Consider the following 24,359-nt stretch of genomic DNA (forward strand, 5'->3'; position numbering starts at 1 on the left):
TGCCTCCTTCCCAAAGTGCTGGGATTATAGGTGTGAATCACCGTGCCTGGCCCCAATGTTGCCTTTTAAAATTGGTTAATTGAAATTTAGAATTCTTTCTCAAAGTCCGGGCATGGTGGCTCAGACCTGTAATCCTAGCATGTTGGGAGGCTGAGGCAGGTGGATTGCCTGAGCTCAGGAGTTTGAGACCAGCCTGGGCAATACGACGAAACCTCTCTCTACTAAAAAATACAAAAAATTAACTGGGCATGGCAGCATGTGCCTGACTCCCAGCTATTCAGGAGGCTGAGGCAGGAGAATGGCTTGAACCCTGGGAGGCAGAAGTTACAGTGAGCCAAGATCACACCATTGAACTCCAGCTTGGGTGACAGAGCGAGACTCCGTCTCAAAAAAAAAAATTCTTTCTCACAAAGAAACACTAGTATAATAATGGCTGGTTGGCTGGGCCCATTACTCATACCTGTAATCTCAGCACTGGGAGGCCAGGGCGGGTGGATCACCTGAGGTCAGGAGTTCTAGACCAGCCTGGTCAATGTGGTGAAACCTCATCTTTACTAAAAATAGGAAAATTAACCTGGCATGGTGGCGGGCACCTGTAATCCCTGCTACTCAGAGACTGAGGCAGGAGAATCACTTGAACCCAGGTGGGAGGTTGCAGTGAGCTGAGATCGTGCCACTGCACTCCAGCCTGGGCTACAGTGAGACTCCGTCTCAAAGAAAAACAAAACAAAACAAAGCTGGTTATACAGGCTATCCTATGTAAGGTATAATGTACCATTTAAAACTGTCTGAAATCACCTGTGGTGAAAGATCATTTTGTTTATTTGTTAATTTTCAGTGTGTTGTTAGTAGTATTCTCAAGTTCTTGAGTTGTTGTAGAATGGTAACATTTTTCCTAATGACCTCAGTTTGTAGACAACATTTTAAGTAATACTGATTTAAAATATTCTCTGGGGTAAATAAATGTAAGATCTTTCTGGCATTTCAGAGTTGGAGCTTACCCTCACACTTCTCAGAAAAATAATGTAAATAATACTAATAGTACTGCAGTGTAATGGGCCATCATTCCTGACCTTTAAATTTGTATTACTCTAGGAGGACGTTATCTTATGAAAAAAATTTGTTGGGTCATTTTCTGTAAGACACTGCTAGGTGCTAGGGACACTAATAAAAAGATGTATATGGAAAAATAGTGACTAAACAGTGGTAAATAAGAGTGCTTGTAAAGGGATAAAGTGGTCATTTAGCTCTTGATTGATTGGGTTTAGGGTCTTTGTAGAAGAGGGAGAGAGTATTTTGCTGGATACTTTATTACTTTCTGCAAGCCTGACTGCGCAATGGCGCAGTCTCGGCTCACTGTAACCTCTGCCTCCTAGGTTCAAGCGATTCTCCTGCCTCAGCCTCCTGAGTAGCTGAGACTACAGCCATGTGCCACCATACCCAGCTAATTTTTGTATTTTTAGTAGAGTCGGGGTTTCACCATATTGGCCAGGCTGGTCTCGAACTCCTGACCTGGTGATCCCCTGCCTCGGCCTCCCAAAGTGCCAGGATTACAGACGTGAGGCACTGCGCCCGGCCCACACTGTAGTTTTTTTAGCAGACAGTTTCATGGCCTACTTCACTAAGTAGATGGAGATATCCCCCCATCTTCCATGGAAATGACTTTCTTACTTGCCTCTTATTTCTCTATCTTAGAAAAAGAGGAATCCAGTCGGGCTCGGTGGCTCACACCTATAATCCCAGCTACTTGGGAGGCTGAGACAGGAGAATCGCTTGAACTCGGGAGGTGGAGGTTGCAGTGAGCCAAGATTGCGCCATTACACTCCAACCTGGGCGAGAAGAGCGAAACCTCATCTCAAAAAAAAGAAAAAGAGGAGTCCTGGTCAAATTTACAGGGCTAACCTCTTCATAATATGTCCTTATTTCCAGTCATTACTTGCTCCTTAGTACTCTCTTGCCACAATATCTTTCTGTAACTGTTCCCATCTGACTATAAAAATGCCTAGATTGTCACCATCATTTAAAAATATATATATATGCCCTTTACTAGTCCTTAGTGCCCAGCAACTATTTCATTAGTAAATGCCTTATGTAAGGGATCAGTACTGCTTTCCTTTCCCCACCATCTGTTCTGTATAGCCCTCCATAATCTGGTGTCTGTACATGTCACACTATGGAAACTATGCTCAGGAAAGTTATGAATGTCTCCTGATCAACAGCTGTATTCTGTTTTGCAGTTTAAAGGTACTTCAAAAGCTTATTGGTGCTTCTGTTTGTTTTATCCCATCCTTATAGTTTTTTTCTATTGTTAATAGATGTTTGTGAAAATAGAAGGAGCACTAGTTCTAGTTCATGCTTTCTTTTGCTTTTCCATAGCTTCTAAAACTAACAGTGAAAATGATATATTGAAACAGTAAATTATAGATCTATACCAGATTTGTAATTGTGTATTTCATTGCTATTTGAAGTATAAAGTAATGGTTCTGTATAATTTATTGGGAAGGTTGAATTTCCATAGCTTCAAAATATTCAAATTTTTTTGCATGGATTTAGCTACCCTTTTCAAAATTTCCTTTTGATGAAGTCATTGACTAAAGCGTCATTAAAACAGAACAAGAAAAGAATTCCAAAAACCCTCCAAAATTCCTTTTTAAAGATAGGAAGGCATACCTGCTGTCATTTTATAGGTAGAACACTAAAACACAGTAAATTACCTGGCCTCCAACTTGGTAGTCTGATTTTTTCTGCCTTGCTCTGGTGTTTTTGTGGTTTTGTTCTTACTTTTTGTGAGTTGTGAGGGATTTTTTGTTGTTTATTTTTTGTTAGGTGTATAGACAAACTTTTGGATGTCATATTTAACAGGGAAAGCATAGAGTCATGGGCCTGAATAACAATTGAGTACAAATATTTATAAATTAGTTGAAGTAACTTTGATTTCAATGTTATATTTTAAAGTCTAGGTTATTTTACTACAGAGCATTAAAATGATAAAATATTTCCTTTTTTTTTTTTAGCTTGTCAGCTCATTTGCAGCTTACATTTTTGGTTTCTTCCACAAAAATGGTATGTACTTAAAAGTAAATAAAGTGGCATTTTAATAGCAAGATACCTTTGTGAATGTAAAAAAAAAGTGGGGCTTCTGAGTGTAAATTTATAAAATTAAGTTTAATGGAAAAGATGTTGATTCTGATGTTTTTGAGCTTTAAGGTATGAAGGCTAATGATGAAATTTGTTTTTGGTGGGTGGGTGGTGGGGGAGGCAGACTCTTGCTCTGTCGTCCAGGCTGTAGTGCAATGTTGTGATCTTGGCTCACTGCAGCCTCCGTCTCCCGGGTTCAAGCAATTCTCCTGCCTCAGCCTCCTGAGTAGCTGGTATTACAGGCACGCGCCCCATGCCTGGCTAATTTTTTGTATTTTTAGTAGAGACAGGGTCTCACCATGCTGGCCAGGCTGGTCTTGAACTCCTGACCTCGTGATCTACCCGCCTTGGCCTCCCAAGGGGGCGTGAGCCACCACGCCTGGCTAATGATGAACATTTTAACAAATTGTCTTAGAACTTCAATAGGTAAAGAATCTCCTCAGTAGAACCTTTTATGCATAAACATTTTGAATTACTGATAATGTATCATGTTTTTAAAAAACACAGTAAAACAACTGAAATAACCACTATTACCAATGGCATATATTAATATTTTAAATATTATTCAAAGGAAATTATATAGTATATTACTCCCGTAAAAGCTCAAAGCATGCTGGAAAGAATTAGAGTTGTTTTAAAAATGGAAAAATACGGCCAGGTGCAGTGGCTCATGCCTGTAATCCCAACATTTTGGAAGGCTGAGGCGGGTGTATCATGAGGCCAGGAGTTCAGGACCAGCCTGGCCAATATGGTGAAACCCCATCTCTACTAAAAATATAAACATTAGCCGGGCGTGGTGGTGGGTGCCTGTAGTCCCAGTTACTTGGGAGACTTAGGCAGAAGAATCGCTTGAACCTGAGAGTCAGAGGTTGCAGTGAGCTGAGATTGTGTTACTGCACTGCAGCCTGGGCGACAGAGCGAGACTCCATCTCAGAAAAAAAAAGGGGGGGAAAATTACTTATCAGCTTATCCATCATAAGTCTGTGTATATGGCATATATTTTTATTATGCAATGGAATAAAACCATTATTAGAAACATGCCAGGTTGGTTGTCTTGGTATCGTTTAGTAAGAAACAAAGATTGAAAATGAGTCCTGGTGGGCCGGGCACGGTGGCTCACGCCTGTAATCCCAGCACTTTGGGAGGCCGAAGCGGGTGGATCACAAGGTCAGGAGATTGAGACCATCCTGGCTAACATGGTGAAACCCCGTCTCTACTAAAATACAAAAAAACTAGCTGGGCGTGGTGGTGCACACCTGTAGTCCCAGCTACTTGAGAGGCTGAGGCAGGGGAATCGCTTGAACCCGGGAGTTGGAGGTTGCAGTGAGCCAAGATCATCCCACTGCACTCCAGCCTGGTGACAGCGAGACTCTCTTAAAAAAAAAAAAAAAAAAAGAAAAGAAAAAGAAAAGAAAATGAGGCCTGGCTTGGTGGCTCATGTCTGTAATCTCAGCATTTTGGGAGGCTGAGATGGGAAGATGACTTGAGGCCAGGAGTTCAAGACCAGCTTGGGCAACACAGACCCCATCTCTACAAAAATTAGCCAGGTATGGTGGGTATGTCCTGTAGTTCTAGGTACTTGGAAGTCCAAGATGGCAGGATGGCATAAGCTCAGGAATTCAAGGTTACAGTTACCTATGATTGCACAACTCTACTCCAGGCTGGGCAACAGAGTGAGACTCTGTCTCCAAAAAATCCCAAATATTAGACTGGGCATGGTGGCTCACAGCTATAATGTCAACACCTTGGGAGTCTGAGATGGAAGAATTGCTTGAGGCTTGCCTGGGCAACATAGGGAGAACCTATCTGTAAGAGGTAAAAAAAGATTAACTGGGCACAGTGGCACATGCCTGTAGTCCCAGCTGTTCTGTAGTCTCAGCTACTCAGGAGGCTGAGGTGGGAGGATTGCTTGAGTCTTGGAGGTTGAGGCTGCAGTGAGCCAAGATCACACCACTGTACTCCAGCCTGAGTGACAGAGTGAGACACTGTCTAAAGAAGACAAAAAGACAACCTTGCCAATTGGCCAGTTGTCAAAATGCTCTAATATAACCATTTTTTAATGACTCTTTGGGGTTGTTTGTTTGTTTAGACAGAGTCTTGCTCATGTCACCCAGGCTGGAGTGCAGTGGTGTGATCAACTCCTGGGCTCAAGTGATCCTCCTGCCTCAGCCTCCTGAGTAGCTGGGACTACAGGCGTCCCCACCATGCCTGGCTAATTAAAAAAAATTTTTTTTGTTAAGATGGAATCTCACTACATTTCCCAGGCTGGTCTCAAACTCCTGGTCTCAAGTGATCCTGTCACCTCAGTCTCCCAAAGTGCTGGGATTACAGGTGTGAGCCACTGAGACTGGCCCTAGTTAGGGTTTTTATGTAAGAAATTTGAAATCTCGTATTTGTATTAGCAGCTAATGTAACTTCTAGTTTTTACCTTAGATCTGGTCTATTTTTATATAGAAGTAACCTGGGTAGCATTATGATTTTTGTTTTCCTTAAATTATTTGTAATGGTCTGCTTAGAGTCCTTATCTCTAGTCATCGTATTTTGTTTTCTGTGGTACTTCTGACGTGTCTAGACTTTAATTCTTCAGAAGCTTATAATTTGAAATTTATACATTCATTAGCCCTTTGTTCTCAGGGACCTGTGTAGAACACATAGTTTATCCATCACTGAACTTTTTGGAAAGTAGTCATATTAAGCTTTTTTCCTATCTACATGACAAAATATATAAAGTTCAACAATTGCTCAGATTTACTTTGTTTTTATTTTTCTTGATATTGAAGTAAAAGAGATAGTGAACTCTGTTGATATCTGTTTCCAGAAAATAATTCCTCTGTCACCCAGGCTGGAGTGTAGTGGTTTGATCTCAGATCACTGCAGCCTCTGCCTCCAGGTTCAAGTAATTCTCATGCCTCAGCCTCCCAAGTATCTGGGATTACAGGCGGGTGCCACCACACTAGCTAATTTTTTTTTTCTTTTTCTGAGACGGAGTTTCGCTCTTGTTGCCCAGGCTGGAGTGCAATGGCGCAATCTCGGCTCACCACAACCTCTACCTCCTGGGTTCAAGCAATTCTCTTGCCTCAGCCTCCAGAGTAGCTGGTATTACAGGCATGCGCCACCATGCCCCGCTAATTTTTTGTATTTTTAGTAGAGATGGGGTTTCTCCATGTTGGTCAGGTTGGTCTCTTGAACTCCCGATCTCAGGTGATTTGCCCGCCTCGGCCTCCTAAAGTGCTGGGATTTCAATAGGCATGAGCCACCGAGCCCGGCCCCTAATTTTTGTATTTTTAATGGAGACAGGATTTCATTTCACCATGTTGGCCAGTCTGGTCTCAAACTCCTGGCCTCAAGTGATTCGCCCACCTCGGCCTCCCAAAGTGCTGGGATTATAGGCGTGAGCCACCACGCCTATGTTGAAAATAATTTCTATTATAACTTTGAAACTAGTAGAAGTTGGAAGTAGATATATTGTGTTTCTTTTCCATCCAAGGTTTATTTGTACCTTTTTTGTTTTCAATAATATTTTTAAGAAACCAGGATAGAAAACCAACATCAAGTTCTCTAAAATGTACCAGCAGCAGTGATGCTTGCCTGTATTTCCAGCTACTGAGGAGGCTGAGCTGGGAGGATTGCTTGAGCCCAGGAGTTTGAATAGAGTCTGGGCAACATAGTGGGACCCTCTCTCAAAACAAGGAAAAAAAATTTTTAATTCTTAAAATGTGATTTTTTCTTCTTATTTTCTTACTATTATTTTTTAGACAGAGTCTTGCTCTGTCACCCATGCTGGAGTGCAGTGAGCAGTCTTGCTTCCTTGCAGCCTCCCGGGCTCAAGCGATCCTCTCACCTCAGCCTCCCAAAGGGCTAGGATTACAGGCATGAGCCACTGCATCCGGCCTCTTTTGTTTTTAAATGAAAACTTTTGTTTGGCAATTAATACTTGAAACTGCTTCTTAGAATGAATACACAAAGATTATTTGGGTACTATTTTCATGGTGAGTATTGTTCGGCAAATATTTTTGTTACTGCATTTAGACATTGGACTATTTTTTTGCTGTATTAAGGTGTTTTTATCCTGGATGCAACTTCCGAAGAAACTGATCAAATGTGTTTTACACACACACCCCCAATAAGAATGTTTTTAAGTAGAAAAAAAGTGTTGCCGGCCAGGCGCAATGGCTCAGGCCTGTAATCCCAGCACTTTGGGAGGCCGAGGCAGGTAGATCACCTGAGGTAGGGAGTTTGAGACCAGCCTGGCCAACATGGTGAAGCCCCGTCTCTACTGAAAATAACAAAATTAGCTGGGAATGGTGTTTCATCCCCGTAATCCCAGCTACTCTGGAGATTGAATCATGAGAAGTGCTTGAACCTGGGAGGTGCAGGCTGCAGTGAGCCGAGATCGTGCCACTGCATTCCAGCCTGGACAACCGAGTGAGACTGACTCAAGAAAAAAAAAAAAAATTACCCGGGCTTGGTGGCGTGTGCCTGTAGTCCCAGCTACTCGGGAGGCTGAGGCAGGGAGAACTGCTTTAACCCAGGAGGCGGAGGTTGCAGTGAGTCAAGAACATTCCATTGCACTCTAGCCTGGGCAACAGAGCAAGACTCTATCTCTCAAAAAAAAAAAAAAAAAAAAAGTAAAGAAAGAAAAAATGTGTTGCCCAATGCCTTAGAACAAAAATTTTTTTTTGTATGTTCATGGATTCATCTATTATAATAGTTCTGGATGTTATTGAAGCTATTTGATGAATTATTTATTAAATATTCAGTTATGAACTGTTAATACCTTTGGGACTTTAAAAAAAAGTTATGGAGGACTACTCTAGAACCTTAATTTGTAAAGCCTTTGTTAGTTAATTTACATAGAGAATATAGACTATGGTATTCAAAATTAACACCCCTAAATTTTTTGTAAGCCAAGATATTCTTCTAGATAGTAAATAATATCTTGATTTTTGTTATCCCATTTAAACTGTAGAGAAATTCTGGGGAAAGCGTCTAAAAATAGCTCTGTCTCTACGTTTTATAATGTTTAATGTTTTTTGAAATCCATTTTTTATCCTTTTGGCCACAAGTCTTGGTCAGATCAAGAACTTTTTAGTTTAGTTGTCTCTATGCATTCATAATGAAACATGTATAATAGTAACTGATTTAATTCAAATGTTATCTTAATAATTTTTCTAGTAGATTTTAGGAGAAGAAAAAAATTGAAGATGCTTATTTTGAATGTGGTTGTCTCCTGCAACTTTTTTTTTTGGAGATGGAGTTTCGCTCTTGTTGCCCAGGCTGGAGTGCAATGGTGTGATCTCGGCTCACTGCAACCTCTGCCCCCCACCCCTGGTTCAAGCAGTTCTGCCTCAGCCTCCCAAGTAGCTGAGATTACAGGCGTGCACCACCTGTAATCTGTTGTTGTATTTTTAGCTGTAGGCTGATGTTGTATTTTTAGTAGAGACGGGGTTTCTCCGTGTTGGTCAGGCTGGTCTCGAACTCCCGGCCTCAGGTGATCCACCTGCCTTGGCCTCCCTAAGTGCTGGGATTACAGGCGTGAGCCACCACACCTGGCCCTTCTGCAACTATTTTCATTTATGCTTTCTGCCAAGAAGCTTTAACTGTATTTGTCAAAATTACTTTTGACTAGCAGTGTATTATCATAAATGTTGAATCTTCAAGCCGGCCCAGTTGCATGTGCCTGTAGTCTCAGCTACTTAGGAGGCTTAAAATGGGAGAATCACTTGAGCCCAGAAGTTTGAGACCAGCCTGGGCAACATAGCCAGACCCTTGTCTGAAAAACAAACAAAAATATTAAATCTTCAAATTAGAAATATTCAGTAAATATGGCCAGGTGTGGTGGCTCACACCTTTAATCCCAGCATTTTGGGAGGCCAAGGCAGGTGGATCACTTGAGGTCAGGAGTTCAAGACCAGCCTAGCCAACATGGTGAAACCCCATCTCTACTAAAAATTAAAAAAATCAGCTGGGTGTCGTGGTGCGCACCTGTAGTCCCAGATACTTGGGAAGCTGAGGTAGGAGGATCACTTTAACCCGGGAGGCAGAAGTTGCAGTGAGCCAAGATCGCCCTACTGCACTCCAGCCTGGGTGACAGAACGAGTCTCTGTCTCGAAAAGAAAAAAGGAATTAGGAAGTATATATATATATAAATGGAAATGTGTAGATGTGTTTTAGAGACAGGATCTCACTCTTTCGCCCAGACTAGAGGGCAGTGACAGGATCATAGCTCACTGCAGCCTTGAACTCCTTGGCTCAAGAGATCCTTCCACCTAGCCTCTGAGGTAGCTAGGACTACAGGCACATGACACCCACCACACCCAGCTAATTTTTTGACATTTTGTATAGACGAGGTCTCTGTGTTGTGCAGGCTGGTCTTGAACTCTTGGCCTTAAGTGATATTCTTGCCTTGGCCTCCCAAAGTGTTGGGATTACAGGCATGAGCCACTATGCCTGGCCAGTGAATATTTTTTATACTTACAACCTGGGCATGGTGGCTCACGCCTGTAATCCCAGGTACTCAGGAGGCTGCCGTGCTGATGTGTGAGGATCACTTGATCCCAGGAGCTTGTGATTGCAGTGAGCTGTGATTGTGCCACTGCACTGTACCTTGGGCAACAGAGCAAAACCTATATCTAATGGAAAAAAAAATTACAGCATATAGGACGGTAATTATATTTGTTTTGTGAGTGGTTTATTTACACTATATATAAAGGCTTTTAAAGAGTTTGCTGTAAGTTTGGAACTGATTTGAGGAAAAAAGAATGAGTGAACTTTTGAGAAGTCTTATTATGGGAAATCTCTGTTTGAAGTTCCCTGACTTGTTAGCAAAATGAATACCGTGTTCATATATTTTTAAAATATATTTTAAAATACTGATTTTCTATTTAGATAAGCCATCACCAAACTCAGAAAATGAACAAAATTCTGTTACCCTGGAAGTCCTGCTTGTGAAAGTTTGCCACAAAAAAAGAAAGGTAATGTCAACAAAATGATATTGGTAGATTAAATGGAATAATTTGCTTAATTGGACATCTTTATGCATATATATTGTATTTTAAAGCTGAGTTTTAAATTTTGAAAGCTTAAGAAATGTGTTGATGGCCTAATTATAAAACTGATAACCTCTTTTGCCAACTCGCATATCTGTGTAGTTTTTCTAGTCTTTTAATAAGTGTCTGTACAAAACTTTTCTCATAGGAGTCTGGAAATGGAGAAGCTGTGTTTTAGCATCTGGCATAAATTCAGTTGCTTTTCTACCATTTCAATCTGTTAGCGTATTTCTTAGCTATTTGTACCCATTGACATTTTAGATAAGAGCTAAGAGAGAGTTTTTTCCACAAGATTATCCTTTGTAACACTGCTCTCAGGCAAAGAAATTTTGTTGTCAGCGTTATTAGCCATTCACTTATTAGTACATTGCTTCAAATTTTTATAAGGTGAAGTTATTTCACCATAGAAACAAGTGTTAAGATGTTTCCTGGTCAACCGATCAAAGCCAACATATGTACCTTTAGTTGCCTCAAGTCCTCGAGTGTTTCAAGAGGAGTAGGAACTGGTCTGGGTCCAGGGTCCCAGTGCTGATATTCTTCCAAGACCATAGGCCATAAGGGCCTCAGTCACAGGGAGGGAGTAGACTAAGGCACCATGGAGGCAGCAGTGGAACTTTATTTTTGAAAGTTTATGTAAAGGCCGGTTGCCGTAGCTCACACCTATAATCCCAGCACTTTGGGAGGCAGAAGTGGGCAGATTGCTTGAACCCAGGAGTTAAGCATCCTGGGCAACATGGCGAAACCCTGTCTCTACCAAAAACACGAAAATGAGCTAGGCATGATGGCCTGTGCCTGTAGTCCCAGCTACTTGGGAGGATTGCTTGAGCCCAGTAAGTCGAGGCTGCAGTGAGCCATGATTGCACCACTGAGCTCCAGCCTGTGCGACAGAGTGAAACTGTCTCAAGAAAAAAAAAAATGTATGTAAAGTTAGGAAATATCACTCCTTGCCAGGTGCTGGTGGCTCACGCCTGTAATCCCAGCACTTTGAGAGGCCAAGGTGGGCAGATCACGAGGTCAGGAGATCGAGTGGCTAACATGCTGAAATCTCGTCTCTGCTAAAAATACAAAAAATTAGCCAGGCGTGGTGACGGGCGCCTGTAGTGCCAGCTACTCAGGAGGCTGAGGCAGGAGAATGGTATGAACCCGGGAGGCGGAGCTTGCAGCGAGCCGAGATCGCAAGACTGCACTCCAGCCTTTATCGCTTCTTACTCCTACCTAACCACCATACACATTACAAGTGATGATATGAAAATCCAAGATACATTACTTAGAATAAGATATGAATATAAATATAGTCATTCTTATGTTCAAAAAAATGTATCGGGGTAATCATTTTCCTGGAAGAATATACACAGCCAACTGCTAGTATTAGTCATCTCTGGAGCGTAAGACCTGGGGGTGGGTGAGAATTCATAGTTTTCACTTTATAGTCTTATAAAATAGAAATTTTTTTAGACTGTATGTATTCTATTTATTTTAAAAGAAGTAGCTGCTGTAAGATACTGTCATAAAAGTCTTCTGATCCTTCCAGTTTTTCTAGTATGCATTTTCAGTGTAACTAATCATACTATAACAGAATATTACTCAGAATATGATCATTGGTAGATAAAACCAGTTTTGTTTTTGTTTTTTTAAGGATGATGATCCTTTCTGTTAAACAACATATTTTAACTATATGGATTTACTGTTTCATAATGTAGTTGTTGACCATGGGATTATTAGTCATTTTTTTAATTTCTAATGGTCCTATTAGTCATTGTCATGTTAAAATAGAACATTTAAGAGATTTGATAAAAGTACATGAGTTTAACATTTTAGCCTGGTTTTTTTGTTGTTGCTAAAAAGCCTTACCAGAGAGATTTAGCATGCTTTTAATTCTAAATTTCTAATATACAACTGTTTCAGATCACTGTTAGCTAAATATTAGATGTACTGTATCATAATTTCATTATGTTGGAGAAAACCTCAATTGCTTTAATATTTGGAATATAGGTATTTCAAATGTTTATTTTTGCTTCACAGTTTTCAGAACTATGGTTAGAATTTTAACATTCCATTTGGTGATCATGGCCTATCTCCTGTGTTTCCTATAGCTGTGATTAGAATTTTTATTATAATTCTTATTGCTTATATACAAATAAATATAAATTAATAATCTTTACCTTTGCAGGATGTATGTTGTCCAATAAGGCAAGTTCCCACAGGTAAAAAGCAGGTGCCTTTGAATCCTGACCTCAATCAAACAAAACCTGGAAATTTCCCGTCCCTTGCAGTTTCCAGTAATGAATTTGAACCTAGTAACAGCCACATGGTGAAGTCTTACTCGTTGCTATTTAGAGTGACTCGTCCAAGAAGAAGAGAGTTTAATGGAATGATTAATGGAGAAACCATGAAAATATTGGTAATTTTTTTTTTTACTAGATTTTATCACTGGAGATTAAGATGGTCATTGAAAATGATTGTACCAGTGTTCCTTCATGATAGTCATGGTGCTGAGTCTTAAAGCAAACAGTGAATTCACCTCCACCTCAACATTTTGTTGTGCAAATTTTCAAACATAAAGGACAATGAGAAGTATTTTATAGTGAACACTTATCTACTTACCTCTTAGATTCAACAATGAATATTTTATTATACTTGTTGCATATTTATCCCCCTACCCATCCCTCTTTTCTTCCAACAATTGTGAATTCATCTTTGAGGTATTCATTCAACAAACACATAGGTGCTGGGGATGATTTAATTTAATCGAAGATGATTAAAGCATTCAGTCCTGTCCTCCAAAGTCTCACAACCTAGTGTAGGGAAATAGACATGAAATATATCATTGCTGCAAAATGATGAGTGGCATAATACAGGTATATGTGAAGTTCAGCAGAGAAACACGTTGGAAGAAATAATCTTTGACTCTTGAAGTATTGTTTGAAGTTTTTGGGAGTTACCACGAGTGAGAAGGAGTTTGCCTAGCAAAGATAATTCTAAACAGAAACATTAGCATTTGCAAAGATGTGGGGTTAATGTTGTGAGTGTTAAAAAGAACATATAGTAAAAATGCAAAATTGGAAACGTGGTCTGTATATTATTGCAACTTTAGTGTAATTCCTACCTCATTTGGGATAAATGTAGCATGTTTTATGTTAAGGGACCATATATCGTAACACATTTTTGTTCTAATATTTGATTTATGAGAAATGTTTGTTAAATTTAGATGTCAGTGAAGAGCTTCCAGCCAGAAGAAAATGAAATCGTGAGGATGGGGAAAAGACATTTGTTGCACAAATGACAGTATTTGATAAAAACAGGTAATGTTGATGAACAAGCGAGGCTCCCACAATGTTCTGGAAATGTTTTCATTCTGAAGCAGAATATAATTATTTATATTGATTATTTCATTGCCTTTGTTTCTTTTTATTCTTACGGATGAAAAAACAAATTTGCAAACACTGAATTTTTGTCTGTTTCATAGAAAACAATAATTAAGGAACTATTTGCATAGATAGCTCAGTTAAACTTACTTATTTGGCGAATATTTTGAGTGTCTGCTCTTTTCCAGACACTGTTCTGGACATTAAGGCAACAAAATCCCTGCCTTCACCATGGAGCTTAACTTTTAGTGGAGGAAACAGACCACCACCCAAAAAATCAACTGATGTCACTTAGTGATGAGTGTTGTGAAGAAAAATAGAGAATAAATGGTTACTGTTTTAGAGCGATATCCTCTGGGAGGAGGTAGTATTTGAGAAGAGACTTAAATGGACTGGGCCGTACGTAAATCTTGGGGTTATGTGTTTATTAAAAACTAAGGAAGAGGAGCTGGTCATGGTGGTATGTACCTGTAGTTCCAGCTACATAGGAGGCTGAGGTGGGAGGATTGTTTGAGCCCAGGAGTTCAAGGCAGCAATGAGCTATGATCATGCCACTGTACTCTGGCCTGAGTGACAAAGTGAGATCCCATCTTTTTTTTTTTTTTTTTTTTTTAGGCTGGAGTCTCACTGTGTCACCCAGGCAGGAGTGCAGTGGCGCAATCTCTGCTCACTGCAACCCCTCTGCCACCTGGGTTTGAGCAAGTCTCCTGCTTTAGCCTCTGGAGTAGCTGGGACTACAAGTGCGTGCCACCACGCCCGGCTAATTTTTTGTATTTTCAGTAGAGACGGGGTTTCACCGTGTTAGCCAGAATGGTGTCGGTCTCCTGACCTCGCGATCCGCCTGCCTTGGCCTCCCAAAGTGCTGGGATTGCAGGCGTGAGCCACCATGCCTAGGCGAGACCCCATCTTTTTTAAAAAAAGAAAGAAGGCCGGGCGCAGTGGCTCACGCCTGTAATCTCAGCTCTTTGGGAGGCTGAAGCGGGTGGATCACGAGGTCAGGAGTTTGAGACCAGCCTGGCCAAGATGGTGAAACCCTGTCTCTACTAAAAATACAAAAATTAGCCGGGCACGGTGGTGTGTGCCTGTAATCCCAGCTACTCAGGAGGCTGAGGCAGGAGAATCGCTTGAACCCGGGAGGCAGAGGTTGCAGTGAGCCGAGATCACACCACTGCACTCCATCCTGGGTGACAGAGCAAAAGTCTATCTTAAAAAAAAAAAAAGAAAATCATGTATAATCATTGTGTACCTCTGTGCATTTGGTACAGGATGGCAAGAAACACAGACGTACAATAATTTCTGCAATTTCTTTTTGGAAACGAAATATTTTAGTGAAAATATCACCAGTGAAAGAATGTCTGGGAAGCAAATCCAGCGTTTTTTCTTTTTGGGATTGGAGAAAGAAACCTATGCCGTCATTTCTTGTACCAGGCTGCGTGCTGGTAGTTAACAGTTTATTGTCAGGTATAGGACAAAGAACCAGGGAAAGTAACTAGGCCATTCCTCCTATTGTTTATTTTTTATTTATTTATTTGTTTATTTTTGAGACGGACTCTCGCTGTGTCACCCAGGCTGGAGTTCAGTGGCATGATCTCAGCTCACTGCAACCTCTGTCTCCTGGGTTCAAGCGATTCACCTGCCTCAGCCTCCTGAATAGCTGGGATTACAGGCACCCGCTACCATGCCCAGCTAATTTTTGTGTTTTTAGAGAGATGAGGTTTCACCATGTTGGCCAGGCTGGTCTGGAGCTCCTGACCTCACATCATCCACCTGCCTAAGCCTCCCAAAGTGCTGGGATTACAGGTGAGCCACCGTGCCCGGCCAGTGTCTTTTTAAAGTCAGAAATTTTATTGTGGATCGAAGATTTAAATGGAAAACAATAGAACCATAAATGTACTAGAAAATAGTGGTCATGTCTGTGGGGGAAACAATTAGAATGAGGCGCATTGGACTTCATCGATGCTGTTAATTGTTCTATTTTAGGCAGCATGGGGTATGTTCTGTTTTCTTTTTTAATCACTGTACCTGACACATATGTTTACACATTTCTTGTAAGAAAAAGATAATGCTTTTATTTTAAAGAAAAAGTGCCAAGAAGAAACTGGGAGAATTTCCCCACAGCAGCTTATTTTGAAAATACTCATCCGGGCATGGTGGCTCACGCCTGTAATCCCAGCACTTTGGGAGGCTGAGGCGGGCGGATCACGAGGTCAAGAGATCGAGACCGTCCTGGCCAACATGGTGAATCCCCATCTCTACTAAAAATACAAAAATTAGCTGGGTGTGGTGGTGCGTGCCTGTAGTCCCAGCTACTCGGGAGGCTGAGGCAGGAGAATCGCTTGAACCCAGGAGGCGGAGGTTACAGTGAGTTGAGATCGTGCCACTGCAGTCCAGCCTGGTGACAGCGAGACTCTGTCTCAAAAAAAAAAAAAAAAAATTCAAAACTATAGGAAAGTTGAAAGAATACTAAAGTCATTTAATATCCACATACCCTTCATCTAGATTGTATCTGTTGTTAACATTTTGCCACATTTGATTTATTTATGAGTATATATTTTATTTTTGTGCTGAACAATTTGAAAGTTTGCTTTATTCCTCATTTATAAACTCTCTTGCATGTATCTCCTAAGAACGAAGACATTTTCTGGTATAACCACCATACACTTATGAGGAATATTAAAATACAAATACAATACTATCTCCCCAGTTGACCTCAATAATGTCCTTTATAATTTGTCCTGTCCCCACCCTGATTCCATAGCTAGATGTCATAGTTCTTCAGTCTCCTTCAATTTGGAATAGTCCCCTAGCCTTTCTCCCTACCTTCTGTGACATTTTTCCCCCAGTATAGGCCTGTAGTTTTGCAGAATGTATCTCAATTAGGACATCTGTGATGATTTCCTCTTGATTAGCTTCAGGTTAAACATTTTTGGCAGGGATTCTAATGAGTGATGTGTTTTTTACGTACTACATCACAGACGAAAGGTAATGTTAGGTTTGATCACTCCGTTAAGATGCTGTTCACAATATTTCTCCATTGTAACTACTTTTTTTCCCTTTTATATAAATCAGCATATAATTCTTATGCTAATACATGAAGCTGAGTAAATATCCATTTTCTTCCCATAGCCTGTCACCCAATAGTTTTAGCATTGATTATTTTTGCTTGAATAAATTATTCCTTTGGCAGTTGGAAAATGGTAATTTTCTAACATTTCTTCCACATTTATTTGCATTTTTATATAAAGAAGAGCATTCGTTCTCTGCTCCCACTGCTTCACTTGACTAACCCTAAAAAAATATATATATGTGTGTATATATATATAGAGAGAGAGAGAGAGAGAGAGAGAGAGAGAAACAGGCAGGCATGGTGGCTGATACCTGTAACCCTAACACTTTGGGAGTCCAAGGTGCGAAGACTTTGAGCCCAGGAGTTTGAGACCAGTTTGGACAACATAGCAAGACCTCGTTCCTAAAAAGAAAAAAAAATTTTAGAAAAAGTTACATGTAAATTTAAAAAGAAGAGCATTCCTTTCCCCAGCTTTGATATTTTAAAATCAGTATGGATTAACAAATTCTATTTATTCAATTAGTTTTAATCTACTGATACTGTTATTTTAATGCTCAAATTGTCTCATATTTTGTCAGGAGGAGCCCTTCTAAGTAGGCTTCTGTGTCCTGTTTTGTTGCTGCTATTTTTTCCTGATTTTCTAGAATAGTAACATATACCAGAATCACCTTCTCCTTTTTTTTTTTTTTTTTTTTTTTTTTGAGACGGAGTTTTGCTCTTGTTGCCCAGGCTGGAGCGCAAAGGCACGATCTCAGCTCACCGCTACCTCTGCCTCCCGGGTTCAAGCGATTCTCCTGCCTCAGCCTCCCGAGTAGCTGGGATTATAGGCATGCGCCACCATGCCCGGCTAATTTTGTATTTATAGTAGAGACAAGGTTTCTCCCTGTTGGTCAGGCTGGTCTTGAACTCCCGACCTCAGGTGATCCTCCCACCTCAGCCTCCCGAAGTGTGGGGATTACGGGCATGAGCCACTGCGTCGGGCCAACCTTCTCTTACCTCTGCTCTGAAGTTGTGATTTCTTCAAGGAGTCCTGATTCCTTATAGAAGAATAGTATTTTTAAGCCAAAATCTGCATGTTAGATGTGTAAAAATTGTTTTTAAAATCTCACAGAGGGCTGAGTGCAGTGGCTCACACTTGTAATCTTAGTACTTTGGAAGACCAAGGTGGGAGGATCTCTTGAGCCCAGGAGTCTGAGGCTGTAGTGAGCTATGATTGTGTCACTGCACTCTAGCCTGGGTGACAGAGCGACTGTCAAAAAAAAAAAAAATCCAGTTAATTCCTTGAAATAATAACCAGTATTCAAAAGCCATATAGGAAAAGAATGCAAAGTTGAACAAAATAAAAATCAAAAACTTCTTCAGAAAACAAAAATGCCACCATAACCAAAGTCAAAAATGACAAGATGGGGAGAAATTATTTTCAACTTGTCTTTCAGGTAGATGTCTCATACTTGAATGTAAACAGGTCATACTAATTTTAAAGTTGCCCAATAGAAGAATGGGCAAAGGAAACAATAAGAAGTTTACCAAAATAGATATATATGGTTCTTAAACAATTAAAACGATAAAACATCTGAATTAAAAGTACACTGAGATGCGTTTTTTCACTTATCAGATTGACAGAGACCAAAAAACTTGATAAAGCACTTGATCAGGCTGTGGGGGAAAGGTCTCCACATACATTACAGATAGGAGGGTGCATTGGATTGTAGGTATCAAATGTACACCCACAAAATGGAATAGTATGTATCTACGTAAAAGCATAAGGAAGCTCCTTTTTGATTTAGAAATATATGAATTTATTACCTATTTGAATAAATAAATTAGTTTTTAAAATAGTTGAATGGCTTTGCTGATGTACTATTGAAGTTGACTAAATTTAAGTAGTACAGCATAGAGAAAAGACAAAAATTCTTAAGTGTCAATCATTTGGTTTTAAGAGACTTTAGAGACAGACACCTGGATTCATTTGCTAGATCTGGCTATTTATGGTTTGATTTTAAGGCAAGTTATTTAAGCTTTTCTTGCCTCAGTTTTCTCTTCTGGCAGTGGAGTAATAGTACATAGTTCATAGTATTGCTGGGAAGATTAAATGAACCATGTAAAATGTTTATAATAGTGCCTGGCACATAGTGAACACTCAATAAATGTCAGCTGTTTTTACCTAATAGAATTTCTCCAAGAGTGATGAAGAGAAGCCAGTTGCTTGATATATACAGTTAATTACTGAGTATGGTTGAAGAATGGTGTTTAGTAGTGGTTACTAGTGTTTAAAGTATGGAAAAATAAGTTATACATAGACACATATGTACACACACCTTAAAACTATATTGTGTGAATATATTTGAATTATTTGATTCAATTAGTATTCCATGAAGTATTTATTGAGCACCTATATGTGCCAGGTGCCCCCAGAATTCCATAGTTACCAGATTCATCATTATAATAATCAGTTTACTGGTCAAGTATACAAGTAAAGGATTCTAGTTCAAACAATTACAGTAGTTAAAGGTAACAGAATTCTTAGTGTTTCCCTAAGACAAGCATTGTAACACTGTTATCCTATTTTTAAAAATATAAAGCCTGGGCTGTGCGCGGTGGTTCATGCCTGTAATCCCAGCACTTTAGGAGGCTGAGGTGGGTGGATCACGAGGGAAGGGGTTTAAGACCAGCCTGGCCAAGATGCTGAAACCCGTCTCTACTAAAAATACAAAAATTAGCCGGGCATGGTGGCACGCGCCTGTAATCCCAGCTACTCGGGAGGCTGAGGCAGGAGAATCGCTTGAACCTGGGCAGCAGAGATTATGGTGAGTGGAGATTGCACCACTGCACTCCAGCCTGGGTTGCAACAGAGCAAGACTCCATCTCAAATAAATAAATAAATAAAGCCTGTACTTATGCTTTATATTTAATGTTGACAACGTACCAGGTTTTGAGACCTCAGGCATATTATACTTTACATGTTTAGAGTTATATCTGAGTAGCTACAGTAATGAATTCCTAGTAATACAGTTTTTAGTGTACATCATTAAAATTGCTTTCATCAGGACTGCAGTGTAGCTGTATTTTTAAAATCTTGTTGAGTATGTAAGCTAGTTTATAAATTTAATAAATGGTTTTAGTATAAATCTAAAGATGTAGAATTTGTGTACTTATAGTAATAACACAGGTTACTTTAAAGTATATGTGTTTGTCTAACAGGCGCTTACAGCTTTTAGATGGGGAATATGAAGTAGCCATGCAGGAAATGGAAGAATGTCCAATAAGCAAGAAAAGAGCAACATGGGAGACTATTCTTGATGGGAAGCTATGGACTACTTAGAAGGTTGAGCACATTATAGTTATGAACTCCCATTTTTGATTGATGTTTTCTTCCCCAAATGCTAATTCATGTTGGAAGTAGAGGCCTTTGTTTTTTATACTTTAAAAAACACAAGTAAATGATCTAGTCAGAGCATTTAACGGAAGGTATCATTCCTTTTTTTTTTTTTTTTTTGAGGGGGAGTCTTGCTCTGTTTCCCAGGCTGGAGTGCAGTGGCATGCTCTCAGCTCACTGCAACTTCCACCTCCCGGGTTCAAGCGATTCTCCTGTCTCAGCCTCCCGAGCAGCTGTGATTACAGGTGCGTGCCACCACGCCTGGCTAATTTGTTTTATTTTCAGTAGAGACGGGGTTTGACCATGTTGGCCGGGCTAGTCTGGAACTCCTGACCTTGTGATCCGCCCACCTTGACCTCCCAAAGCGCTGGGATTACAGGCATGAGCCACTGCACCCGGCCACACGGAAGGCATCATACTTTGAGAGCCAGACTGCCTGATTGAAATCTCTGCTCCTAGCTATGTGGCATTTGGCAAGTTATTTATCCATGTCTCAGTTTCTTCACCTGTAACATGAGACATAGAATTGATGGATTAGATGAAATAATAAAATATTTAGTACAGTGCCTGGCATACAATAAGTGCTCAATAAATGTTAACGGCTATTTTAAATTCTATTCATTGTAATGGCAGATAATAAGGGATGACTAGTAATACATTTATCAAGAAATCTGCAGAATTTAGATTAAGCATACTTAAAATAACTCTTAAGAGATAAAGAGGAATCCATACATTTCTTAAATAGGGAGATTCAAAACTGTAATGATGTCTTTTATTTCTAAATATGTTAGGTCAGTGTACCATCCGATGCAAAATCTCATAAGGATTTTTTTAAGTCTTAAAATTAGTTCCTAGTTAATCTAAAAGGATAAGTATTTAGTAATACTAAGGGAAATTTTAGAAAAATATTTTGAGAATTTTTACTTACCAGTTTTAGTATGATATACAATATACCGTTGTACATACCATAAAGTTAAGAGAACTTAAACCCTATGGTATAACCATAGGAATAGATATGCTTATCTATTCAGGCATAGTCCTGAAATAGTTTATGATAAAGGTGTTGGTATAGCTATGTGAGAAAGAGAAACTGTTCATTAATTGTGACAACTCTTCTCCAGTCATCTGGAAATAATCTTAGGCCTAATACATTCTGGAAGGCTCATAAACATGTAAAAATGAACATTCATAAGCATGGAAAAAAAAATAGGTGAATGTTAATATATTTAATATATTGCAGTGAGGAAGACCCTTCTAAGGATGATTGAAAAGTAAGAAAGCATAAAGTAAAAATTGTCGGGTTAAAATTAGTCATTTTTATACTGCAAAATATCTAAAGTTAGAAACAAATTATGGAATGGGGGAAATATCTGTAACACAAAATGCTAATATGAATACATAATATTGTGAATTATGAAACAAAAAGATACACAGTCTAATAAGAAATATGTGTGAAGGACTATCACGCAGTTCTTAAAAAAACAAAGAGATGGCCAGCAAACTTTTAAAGCAGTACTCAACCTTATTAGTACTCAAAGGCATGCAAATGCAGAGATACTACTTTTGAGAGTTTGACAAAGATTAAAAGTTTGACAGTTTCTAGTGTTTTAGGGACGTGAGGACACATATACTCTCAAATAATATTTTGATGTAACAGTTGGGGGCCGGGCTCAGTGGCTCATGCCTGTAATCCCAGCAGTTTGGGAGGCCAAGGCGGGTGGATCACCTGAGGTTATGAGTTTGACACCAGCCTGGCCAACATGTCAAACCACATCTCTACCAAAAACACAAAAATTAGCCAGGCATGGTGGCAGGTGCTTGTAGTCCCAGCTACTTGGGTACTTGGGAGGCTTAGCAGTATTACTTGAACCTGGGAGGCAGAGGTTTCAGTGAGCTGAGATTTTGCCACTTCACTTTATCCGGGGAGACAGAGCAAGACTCTGTCTCAAAAAAAAAAAAAAAGGTTGATACAGTCTTACTATAGGGCAGACTGGCAATATATATAAAGTTAAAATTGTATATATAGTCTTTAACAATTCAAATTTTATATTTTTGTCACAATGTAACTTGTTAACAAAAGATGTAGGTAACAGGTTTTCTCAGCATTTTTTAAATAATGAAACGTTAGAAACACGTTAAATCTAAAAAGCTATTAAAAAGGATGATAGTTTGACAAGATTTCCATATTAAATTTTTACATAAGTGTGTATATATATATATATATATATTTTCCCTCTTTCTAAAATTTATAATCGTGGTTAACTCCAGGTGATGAGATTTCAAATAATTTTTATCTATACTCTTTGGGTTTTCTGTATGGATTTATCTTTATGATCTTTTTCATTTTAAATTTCTTGTTTTAAAGTATGTTTTTATTCATGAGACTATAAGGATTATATATATGAAGGGTTTTTGTTGTTGTTGGTTTTGTTGTTGTTTTTGGATTTTTTTGTTTGTTTGTTTTGTTTTTGAGATGGAGTTTCACTCTGTCACCCAGGCTGGAGTACAGTGGCACGATCTTGGCTCACTGCAACCTCCGCCTCCCAGGTTCAAGCGATTCTCCAGCCTCAGCCTCCTGAGTAGCTGGCATCACAGGCGCGCACCACCATGCCCAGCTGATTTTCGTATTTTTAGTAGAGATGGAGTTTCACCATGTTGGCCAGGCTGGTCTCGAACTCCTGACCTTGTGATCCGCCCACCTCGGCCTCCCAAAGTACTGGGATTACAGGCATAAGCCGCCGTGCCCGGCCTGGCCTTTTTTTTGTTTTTTTCTGTTGAGATGGAGTCTCGCTCTGTCACCCAGAGGTGGAGTGCAATGGCACGGTCTCGGTTCACTGCAACCTCTGCCTCCTGGGTTCAAGCAATTCTCTTGCCTCAGCCTCCTGAATAGTTGAGATTACTGGCATGCGCCACCACGCCTGGGGGTTTCACCATGTTGGCTTGGCTGGTCTCAAACTCCTGACCTCAGGTTTTCCACCCACCTTGGAGTCCCAAAGTGCTGGGATTACAGGTGTGAGCTACTGTGCCCGGCCTATCTGGAAGCTCTTAACCCTGTAAAATGGGCATCCTTTTAAGTCAGAGCATATAGATTTACTTCTTTTTAAACGTTCTGAGTTTTTTTGTTTTGTTTTGTTTTTTTGGGTTCCTTAATTGACTAAACCAGTGCTGGTCTAATAGATAAGTGGGTTATTTGATTTTTTAAAATCTTGTCAAAAATGTTAATAGTGATTATACTTGAACCTGTATCAAGTATTTTATAAGATAAATTCCTGTGGAGTGCTGTGTCCAAACTAGTCTCTGAACACACTTTTACTACATTCTAGTCTAAATAGTTTTTTGAGATGGAGTCTTGCTCTGTCGCCAGGCTGGAGTGCAGTGGTGCAATTTCGGCTCACTGCAACCTCTGCCTTTCAAGTTCAAGCAATTCTCCTGCCTCAGCCTCCTGAGTAGCTGGGATTACAGGCGCCTGCCACCACGCCCGGCTAATTTTTTTGTATTTTTAGTAGAGACGGGGTTTCACCGTGTTAGCCAGGATGGTCTCCATCTCCTGACCTCGTAATCTGCCGGCCTCGGCCTCCCAAAGTGCTGGGATTACATGCGTGAGCCACTGTGCCTGGCCATTTATTTTTACAGCGAACTACATTTGCCACTGTACTCCAGCTCGCTGTAGCCTCAAGCTCCTGAACTCAAGTGATCCTCCCACCTTAGCCTCCTGAGTAGCTGGCTAATGCCTGACTATGCCTGGCTAATTAAAAAAAATTTATTTTGGTAGAGATGGGGGTCTCATCATGTTGCCCAGGTTGGTCTTCAACTCCTGGCTTCAAGCAATCCTCCCACCTTGGCCTCCCAAAGTACTGGGATTACAGGTGTGAGCCAGCAGTCCCGGCCAAACTTGCTAATTTTAATTTGTGTCTTTTTGCTTTACTAAATAGTAACCATGAGTGTTCTGAGCTTTTCTGAGTTCTGTGAGTCCTGGCAAATAATTGAAAGTGAAAGTGATCTTAAGCACCCCTGAACACATTTACCACGCATGGCCCACTTGCATTCATCTGGTATTGGAGGGAAACAAATTTCTAGAGTTTCAGTTGCTACTTTTCAGTTGTTCCATGGTGCTTTCCAGGAGTTCCAGTCGATGATATGGGGTTTCGCCTGTCATCACATCTGTCAGGCTTTGCGCCTTCTTCATCCTGCACAGACACTGAGATCATGCAGGTCTTGTATCTGTTTGTAGTTCGTCTTCACTAGCTTGTATTTTGGGATTTGAGGGGGTAAGTGGTCACCTAGTCTTACTGTAGATATTATCCAGGGGATTTTGCTTTTGTTATCTATCTAGTTGCTCTATTTCTTTGTTTTGTTTGTGTTTA

At 40.0% G+C, this 24,359-nt stretch overlaps 1 pseudogene across 4 annotated transcripts in view, besides 5 other annotated features; it reads left to right on the plus strand.

Moving 5' to 3' along the window:
* Positions 1–24,359, plus strand: part of SUZ12P1 (SUZ12 pseudogene 1) — an 83,223-nt pseudogene that overhangs the window by 46,869 nt on the left and 11,995 nt on the right. For 2 of the 4 annotated variants that reach the window (NR_144395.1, NR_144394.1), the window contains 4 exons: positions 3,015–3,063; positions 10,027–10,112; positions 12,358–12,588; positions 13,396–13,489. The product of NR_144395.1 is annotated as an SUZ12 pseudogene 1, transcript variant 4 (transcript). Of the gene's footprint in view, positions 1–3,014; positions 3,064–10,026; positions 10,113–12,357; positions 12,589–13,395; positions 13,575–19,820; positions 19,954–24,359 lie in introns of those variants that run through there. The other 2 variants (NR_144393.1, NR_024187.2) reach the window with 2 other exon arrangements.
* Positions 15,996–16,097: a non allelic homologous recombination region, noted in NCBI's record as "sub-region R268011, recombines with sub-region R268011' within the SUZ12 PRS4 recombination region". NCBI's record gives the evidence for it as "EXISTENCE:nucleotide sequencing assay evidence [ECO:0000219][PMID:22837079]".
* Positions 15,996–17,862: a biological region, named in NCBI's record as "SUZ12P1 PRS4 recombination region". NCBI's record gives its function as "recombination_partner: LOC108783653".
* Positions 16,225–16,299: a non allelic homologous recombination region, noted in NCBI's record as "sub-region R53327, recombines with sub-region R53327' within the SUZ12 PRS4 recombination region". NCBI's record gives the evidence for it as "EXISTENCE:nucleotide sequencing assay evidence [ECO:0000219][PMID:22837079]".
* Positions 17,047–17,271: a non allelic homologous recombination region, noted in NCBI's record as "sub-region BR5, recombines with sub-region BR5' within the SUZ12 PRS4 recombination region". NCBI's record gives the evidence for it as "EXISTENCE:nucleotide sequencing assay evidence [ECO:0000219][PMID:22837079]".
* Positions 17,610–17,862: a non allelic homologous recombination region, noted in NCBI's record as "sub-region BR6, recombines with sub-region BR6' within the SUZ12 PRS4 recombination region". NCBI's record gives the evidence for it as "EXISTENCE:nucleotide sequencing assay evidence [ECO:0000219][PMID:22837079]".

This window comes from Homo sapiens, chromosome 17, assembly GCF_000001405.40.
Source record: "Homo sapiens chromosome 17, GRCh38.p14 Primary Assembly".
Classification (NCBI taxonomy): domain Eukaryota; kingdom Metazoa; phylum Chordata; class Mammalia; order Primates; family Hominidae; genus Homo; species Homo sapiens.